General features: G+C 43.8%; 1 pseudogene, besides 1 other annotated feature; it reads right to left on the bottom strand.

The window, feature by feature from the left end:
- RN7SL250P (RNA, 7SL, cytoplasmic 250, pseudogene) lies at nucleotides 524-781 on the bottom strand (annotated as a pseudogene).
- Nucleotides 7,826-8,120: a silencer, noted in NCBI's record as "tiled region #14468; HepG2 Repressive non-DNase unmatched - State 24:Quies, and K562 Repressive non-DNase unmatched - State 24:Quies". NCBI's record gives its function as "represses a minimal TATA promoter and a strong SV40 promoter by Sharpr-MPRA in HepG2 and K562 cells {active_cell/tissue: HepG2 | K562}" and the evidence as "EXISTENCE:reporter gene assay evidence [ECO:0000049][PMID:27701403]".

The raw sequence follows: 8,923 nt of genomic DNA, 5'->3' as shown, positions 1-8,923 counted from the left end.
TAGGTGATCCACCCGCCTCGGCCTCCCAAAATGCTGGGATTGCACGCATGAGCCACTGTACCTGGCTAGTTTGGGTCTCTTTTTGAAAAGTGATGAAATGTTATGGAATTAGATAATGGCGATGGTTAGAAAACCTTGTGAGTACACTAAAAACTACTGAATTGTATATTTTAAAAGGGTGAATATTATGACACGTGGATTATACCTCTGTTTTATTTTATTTATTTATTTATTTATTTTTAGAGACAGGGTCTCACTATGTTGCTGAGGCTGGAGTGCAGTGGCTACTCACAAGTGCAATCCCACTATTGTTTAGCACAGGAGTTTTGTTTGTTTGCTTTTGTTTTTTTTTCTTTTGAAACGGAGTTTCACTCTTGTTGCCCAGGCTGGAGTGCAATGGCACAACCTTTTCTCACTGCAACCTCCACCTTCTGGGTTCAAGCGGTTCTCCTGCCTCAGTCTCCCAAGTAGCTGGGATTACAGGTGCCCGCCACCACGCCCAGCTAATTTTTGTATTTTTAGTAGAGACAGAGTTTCACCATGTTGACCAGGCTGCAGCACAGGAGTTTTGACCTGCTCCATTTCTGACCTGGGCCAGTTCACCCCTCTTAGGTAACTTGGTGATCCCCTGCTCCCAGAAGGTCACCATATTGATGCCAAACTTAGTGTGGACACCTGATTAGCACAATGCATTACAGCCCAGAACTCCTGGACTCAAATGATCCTCCTGCTTCAGCCTCCGAAGTAGCTGGGACCATAGGTACATGCCACCATGCCTGGCCATATCTCAATTTTAAATTGAAAAAAAAAAAATCAGATTTAAAGTTCCCTGACTCCAAAACTCTTCCTCCTTGTGTGTTTCCCTATCTGAAGACACCTTATGAGGTATTTGGACTTCTTCCTTCTCTGTAGTCCTCATTTCCCTGATATTTGACCTTTAGCTCTTTTGAGTGTCTTGAATCTGTCCCTTGCTCTTCATTCCCACTCACGCTACCATGGTTCATAATGCCATCGTCTCTTGCCTAAATCACTGCAACTACTCTCCAGGCTTCCAAACTTGTCCTTGCGCCAGTCCATTCTCTATGATTTAGCCAAGGAAGTGATATTTTAAAATATGGTTTGTTGCTTCTCTGTACCCTTGGGGATTGGTTCCAGGACCCCCATGGATACCAAAATCCATGGATGCTCAAGTCCCTGATATAAAGTGGTGTACTATTTCCATATAACCTATGCACACCCTCCTGTATACTTTAAATCATCTCTAGATTACTTATAATACCTAATACAATGTCAATACTATGGAAATAGTGGTTATCTTATATTGTTTTTTATTTGTTTGATTTTTTATTGTATTGTTATTTTTATTGTTTTTTTCCTAATGTTTTTGAGCCCTGATTGGTTGAATCCACAGGTGCAGATGGCCAAGTACATACAAATGTATTTTAATCAAATCAAGGTAATAATTTCTCTTTTGTCTCTTTTTGAGCGTTAATTTTCTTATTTCATACATGTGAGTGAATACATATGATTTTGGAGGTACAACAATGATAAAACATAATACTAGTCTTAAGGAGGCTGTAGTCTAGAGAAAGTCCCCCCACATAAAGAGGTGATTAGGATGTAATATGTTACGTGCTATGAGAAGGTAAAATGATCAAGGAGTCTGGTGGGGGTCAGAAAAGGCTTCTCAGAGGTGGTGAAGTGTTAGCAAATATTTGAAGGATGAATAGGAGATATTCAAACAAAGAAAAGAAAAGGAAATCCCAGAAAAGGAGGTAACTTGAGCCATAGTTGGGCGGTAAGAGAAAGCATGGACCCTCCAAAAGACAGGGAGAGTCCTGGTCACCAAGGGTCTTGTATCTGGAGCAGTCAAGTCTCTTTTGTTGGCAAGTTTAAAAATATAAATCCAAACAGAAACTGAAGACTGGGGGTGCAGTGGTTTGAGCAAGCCTGGATCCAAGTGCTTGGACATGTCAGAAGTCTGTGCTCAGTCTCTGCTGTTGGCCCATCTCTTGCAGGCCAAGTCCCTCATGTCCAGATGGCCACCAGCAGCTCCAGGCTCGGATTCTCCCATTTTGCAAACCCAGCAGAAGGAACTCTTGCTGACCAGTAGTTCCCAAGACTGATTTTCTGTGGGGCTGGTGGAGATGAATGGCCAACCCTGAATCAGTCACTGCACCAGGGGGATGATCCCTCTTTCTGCCTTGGAGCTGGCTTATCAGAGGTAGAGAGGAATGGGCGGGGATCAAAGCAAAAGGAGGGAGGATGTGGAAAGGGGAGTTGCCCTTGTGAAAATCAGGCACTGTGACCAGAGGTAGGAGGAGTGGATGATAGACAGGGTAAAACAGCAGTGGCCCATGAAACCACACTAAGGCTGCTGAGCAACTTCCAGCAAGCAGTGAAGCTACCAATGTATGTGCAAGAAACAGTTCTTATGATGAAGGGCAGTTGCAGTGGGGACAAGAACACTGATTTGGGAGCTGTTATATTAATTCAGGTGACATATTACCATTGCTGAAATGAAGGGAGTGTCAAGGCAAATAAAGAGCAGTTGATAAATTTGAATGATAAGAAGCTGGCAGGACTTAGGTAACTGATTAAAGGTGGAAGCTGTATTGTGGAGGGGGGAGTGTCTGGGGAGATGGAGGAGCTAAGTGTGACTCCAGGTCTAAGGCTCAGGTAATCATGTGAATAATGACTGTTGACTAGGGACGCCGGAGCAGGAGCAGCTCTGGGGAGGGGAGGAGAATCCAGTGATTTTAACACTACCTGTTTGATGTCTGAATGCAGCTAATGAGCAGGTAGCTGCAGCTCCCAGTCGGAAGCTGGGGAAAGGACCTGAGGGTATGGCCCTGTTGCTGGGCACACATGCATTTTGAATGGGACCCTGCTAAGCCAGAAGATAGGATGGCAAAGGAGACATATGTCCCACTCTCGAGAGCTCGTAAGTCACGTGGGATGAAGGTTGTGTACACAAGTGACAGGCAGTGACATCGCTAGTGTGTGGGTACACAATAAGAGACCCTGCCCTGCCCTGCTCTAGGGCTCCCTCAGGGCCAGGAGGGGCTTTTCTCATGATGAAGCCTGGTGGTAGAGTCTTGCAGGGTGAGTGACAGGCACACACTTCAGGATGTTCAGAGAGTGAGAATACATCCACTTGCTAAATCAAAACGTTATCAGGAAACCTTTGTCTTCCCTAAGAAAGTGGACTATCTGTAAAAATAACCACAGCCAGCAGCGGGGCTCTCTCATAAGGAGGTGGAGACAGGGCCAGCCATGAAGGAAGATGGATTTGCCAGGCAGCCAAGTGGACTGCAGCTGGGACACAGGTTGCAGCTGGGACATCTTTGGCTTCGGGAATGCCATGTCCTTATAAGTCATGTCCTTATCAGTTCTGCTTAAAGAGCCAGAAAATGCTCTGCCTCACTTCAAGTATAGGTCCCCGAGCATCACTGCATGGAAAGGTTCATCTGACCAAAGACCCTGAAGAGCAAGTCACCACTGAAGCTAGTCTGAAGCCTGCCCTACTTCCTCCCTTCAGATTTTCACCTGAAGATTCAGGAAAAGATGGGCACGGTGGCTAGCGCTTATAACCCCAACACTTTGGGAGGCCAAGGCAAAAGGACTGCTGCGCAACAAAGCAAGACTGTGTCTCCACAAAAAAATTAAAAATTAGCTGGGCCTGGAGACACACGCCTGTAGCCCTAGCTACTCGGGAGGCTGAAGTGGGAAGATTGCTTGAATCCAGGAGATCGAGGCTGAAGTGATCTGAGATCGCACCACTGTACTCCAGCCTGCATGACAGAGCAAGACTCTTTTTTTTTTTTTTTTGAGATGGAGTTTTGCTCTTGTTGCCCAGGCTGGAGTGCAATGGCACGATCTCGGCTCACTGCAACCTCCGCCTCCTCAGTTCAAGTGATTCTCCTGCCTCAGCCTCCCTAGTAGCTGGGATCACAGGCATGCACCACCAGGCCTGGCTGATTTTATATTTTTAGTAGAGATGGGGTTTCACCATGTTGGCCAGGCTGGTCTCGAACTCCTGACCTCAGGTGATCCACCTGCCTCGGCCTCCCAAAGTGTTAGGATTACCGATGTGAGCTACCGCGGCTGGCCAACTCTGCCTCTTAAATTAAAAAAAAAAAGTAAAGAAAAAAAGATTCTGGAATAGACCATCAAAGCAAATGCAAAAGCTGGCCCCTGGTTGGCAGTAGACAAGACACTGGGCCTGCATCAAGACTCTGTGTGGCGCATCCTGGAAGGAGAGGTTTGGGAGAGGGAGTTAGAAAAGGGGGAAACACTACAACAGCCACAACCCTGGAGGCTTAATTTCACCCCAGGTCTTCATAGCAATCTTGTTTTGTTTTTGATCTCCAAAAAGGGGTCAGCCTAGGATTTATGAGATACTCCCTCACACAACCTGAGAAGAAATTAAGAAACAACTTTTACTTCAGAACTGAAAACTGTCTGGAAAACCAGAGAAGTGCTGAATGTCACTGTAAAGAAACGAAAAACAGGAGGCGACGTGTGCTGGGCAGATGGGACATGGCTTTCTGTGTTTCCGTAGGTAATTGCAACAGCATTAAGAAAATGTGAGAAAGATATTAGCATGGCACAAATGCCTGTTCATCTCCGCTTTTAAATGTCTCTGAGTTGAATTAAACCACAGTGGTAATGTAGAGTTTTTCAAAGTATACATAAATGATATTTTAGTTTTGCTAGCTATGAATTTAAATATTTGATTACTTTTTGATATGCCATTTCTAAATTACCTCTAAAATTAAGACCAAAATAATAAATACACATAATACTAATGTTTCAGAAATGAGCTCCACCATTACTTACAGTGTGATCATACAAACTAACACCTTGTAATAATTAGTCACCTTTTGTCAATATTTATTTGAATAGCCAACAACAGCATAGAGGATGTGCATTGACTGCTAAGCCTAGAATGCTAGAAAAATAAGGAAAGGCTGCGCTTCCTTTCCTCGGCGTGATCTGTCCACCTGCTATCTGTGGGGAACTTGGCTGCTGAGCGAATCGCTCTGTTCTATGTATAGCTTTGTTGATTTACATAGTTCTCCAAAAGGCACACACCCAGGGTTTTGTTTCAAGTGAATAATGTTAACAGACAAACTGTCTAATAAACCTGAAATGTTCTCCCAGGGGATGGAGAGAAAGCGAAGATCCTTGGATAATTTCAGTGTTTTCCTTCTTGACCTTGGGTCCGTCTGTCTGAAATTGACATGAAGGTTGGAATCAACCTCTTGGGTTCAGCTAAGGGATGTGTGGAACGCTGACGGGAATGAGATACTCCTACCCCTAGGCTTTTAGGGAGCAGATGTGTCTTCCTCTCAAGACAGTCTGTGTGGGGTAGATGAGTTGGCTCTGGACAGCCCTAAAACAAATCATAGCTGGCCAGGTGCGATGGCTCACGCCTGTAATCCCAGCACTTTGGGAGGCCGAGGCGGCAGATCACCTGAGGTCGGGAGTTTGAGACCAGCCTGACCAACATGGAGAAACCCTGTCTCTACTGAAAATACAAAATTAGCTGGTTGTGGTGGCACGTGACTATAATCCCAGCTACTAGGGAGGCTGAGGCAGGAGAATCACTTGAACCTGGGAGGTGGAGGTTGTGGTGTGCCGAGATCGTGCCATTGCACTCCAGCCTGGGCAACGAGTGAAACTCCGTCTCAACAACAACAACAAAAAAATCATAGCTCCATTCCTATATGGGTCTCTTAGGGTCACACTGAATTACACAATTTAGCAGCACCCGAGTGACCTGGCTGGGATCTTAAATGTGGGTAGCTTAGTAGAACCACATTAGAGAGAGAAAGAAGTGCTGAAAAGACCACATGTCTTTGCAGATGAGTGACTATATAAGACACCTTCAAGTCCTGTGAAGTTATGTCGGGCTCCTCTGAATAAAAAGGAGCTCTTTCCCTAACAGTTAACACCTGTGTGCTCACCATGTAACAGGACTCCTTGTAAATCCTTGAGCTCATATAGCCATCACAGAAACCCTAAGCTGAGGCTAGAGAGACCAAGCAGCTGGCCCGCGGCCACACAGTCATTAGCAGACAACACAGCTGGAGGAGGGAACCAGGCAGTGTGAGACGGGGTCCCTGTGTTTAACTGCTTACGCCACATGGCTTCAATGTTAAGCCGTACAGCTTCAAGTTCATCTCCCCTCTTTCCTCTCTTTTATCTCTATTTATATTTGTCAACAAATACAAAAGATTCTCGAGTGGTCTGTTCTGTCTGTTCTAACAAGGGGAGCCAACACCAATTCTCTTAAACTGGATTGGCTGATGAATCTGAAATGTGTTCCGGACTTTGGGGGATGCAGCAGCACGCTGTTTTAAGTGGCATGGGAAGAGGTGGTGTGATGTGCCCCGATGGGGAGGGGCTTGAGCTGGGAAACCCGAGTTCCACTCTTCTTCAGCCCTCCTCCTAGTGATCGGGATTGATAGTGGGCGACTCCCTGCCTCTGACTGGTCCTCGATTTCAGGATGCATCCAAGAGGAGCTGGCCCAATCTCTCCATTCCCTTCAGGCTTGAACACTCCATGATTCTGCGGTGTAAGGTTTGAGAGATTTGGACAAAGTGTTAAACAAACAAAAAAAAGCAGATGGCAGTTAAGGAAGAATATTAACCTAAACACTACATTTCACAGAAGAGTTAGAGTTAGGTTTCTATTCTATTTCCTGCCCACAAATCCATATCCCCTCTGATGGGCAATCACTAGGCAGAACTTATGAAACCGTATTTGAGTGATAGAACTGGTGAAACTACTTGTGTCTAACTGCTTAGTAAAGAGTTTGGTATTTGAAGAAGACTAAGATGAAAGATGGAGACTAATAATTCTGACTTGAGAATATATATAAAAAGGAGATTTTCTCAGAGGCCTTAATAATAGATGGGAGAGTGCTTTGAACGTGAAGGTTATAGCTGGGCGCAGTGGCTCAAGCCTGTAATCCCAGAACTTTGGGAGGCTCAGGTGGGTGGATCACTTGAGGTCAGGAGTTGGAGACCAGTCTGACCAACATGGTAATCCCCATCTCTACTAAAAATACAAAAATTAGCCGGGCATGGTGTTGCACGCCTGTAATCTCAGCTACTTGGGAGGCTGAGACACAAGAATTGCTTGAACCCAGGAGGTGGAGGTTGCAGTGAGCCAAGACTGTGCCACTGCACTCCAGCCTGGGCAACAGTGGGACTATTTCTCACACACAAAAAAAAATAATAAATGAAAATGAAGGTTATTATAAGTTCTATCTTTGCAAAATATTTAGTTTTTTTAATACTCTGCTGACTTTAAAATAATTAGATATGGTGTTGTCTTTCAATACCAGGCAAACATTACCAGGAGGTTAAATAAGAAAGCATATTTTACTTATAAAGTGTTACCACATAACACTCTTATGAAATTTTGGATAATTTCATTCAACATGTAGTTTATGACTAAACAAACAAAAGTTCCAATTCTGGAGAAATCTTTGCAAAAAATGAGGGATTTGTAAATTCAATCCTTATGTTTTGCTGCAATTTTAAAATTAGGATTAAATTTATAGCTGTATCACTCTTTAACTGAAGCAATTGCTAGCTATAGCCTAGATCTCTTATATGGTTTTGAGTAAGAGTTATTTATGACTTTTGATATTGAAGAATGTTAAGATTTGGCATAGATTTTATTAAAATCCTATATACTATACAAGATAGAAGAAATTAAATATAACAATTGGGGTCAATAAACATCTCATCAATGTCTTAAACCAAACTCATAATTATTGGAGCTATTTCATCAAATGATTGAAGCATTGGCTAGGTTTATTTCTAAGATGGCACTCCGTCCAGAAAAGACAGTTTCCTATTCTAATGCTGGAGCTCTGACCTTTTGACCCTGGAATGCCTCAGAGAGAGAAACTACATGGACATGAGCGTCAGGGTGAACACACACTTTAGAGACAATATCAAGAAGTCTGCCTGAGCTTGAGCTCTGAAAAGAATTGTGAAGCTGCATCCTGTCAGGGTTTCCTCTCATTCCTGTATTTCTTTTTCCCTGTAGCCCCTTATTGGCAGCAAATGGACTATTCTTTAGTACTGTTTCTGTGCATTCTTTCCCACAATCTTTTTTTCCTTTTCTTGTTCTATCTCCCTCATCTCCTTTGGTACTTTTCTTTCCAAGTAACCTACCTGGTTTTCCTTTTTTTCCCCCAAATGCCTTCATTCCAGCATATCTTATTTTCTCTAAATCTTGGCCCACATTGCTAATCCATGGGAAGAAGCCAACGACGAGACTGCAGGGAACAATCTTGATCGCTCTGTGAGGGAAAATTCATTTCATCTACATCCCCAAATTTTTTATTTTGAACCCGTTTTTTTCCGTGATGAAGCAATTTAATATTTCTATCTTGATTTAACAATGAAAAGAAATTAATCTCTGCAGCTGCTTCAAAGAGAAAGTAAAAGATCCCTGTTCTGACCTCCCCGTTAGTTCTGACTAATCCATTTGCACACCTGTCAGTGGGCTTGGACAGTGTGTGGAGCACAGAGGAGACACAGCCTTGTGGGGAATTAGAGATGTAAATGTATCTACAGTACAGGGAGATATGATAAGGCCTGATTCTAACTGATTTGGGAATTTGCTAGATAAAGCAAATAAATGCCTGGGGGCTGAGAGAGAAGGAAGCTCTCAAAGAGGAGATGACCTCTAAGAGGGGGCACACAGAATGGAGGGTATGGACATCCTGGACAGAGAAAACCACCTGAGCACAGGCACGGTCCCATCATAAAGCACGGCTGGGAAACAGGGTAGAAACTAGGAATGGCAAGACACTCAGTGGGAAACTCCATAGGATCAAATAATGAAGGACTCCTGTGCCTTTGCCTGCTTAAGGAGCATGAATTTCATCCTGCA

The sequence above is a fragment of the Homo sapiens genome, chromosome 8, assembly GCF_000001405.40.
Source record: "Homo sapiens chromosome 8, GRCh38.p14 Primary Assembly".
Taxonomy (NCBI): domain Eukaryota; kingdom Metazoa; phylum Chordata; class Mammalia; order Primates; family Hominidae; genus Homo; species Homo sapiens.
This window is presented reverse-complemented; position numbering and strand designations above follow the sequence as displayed.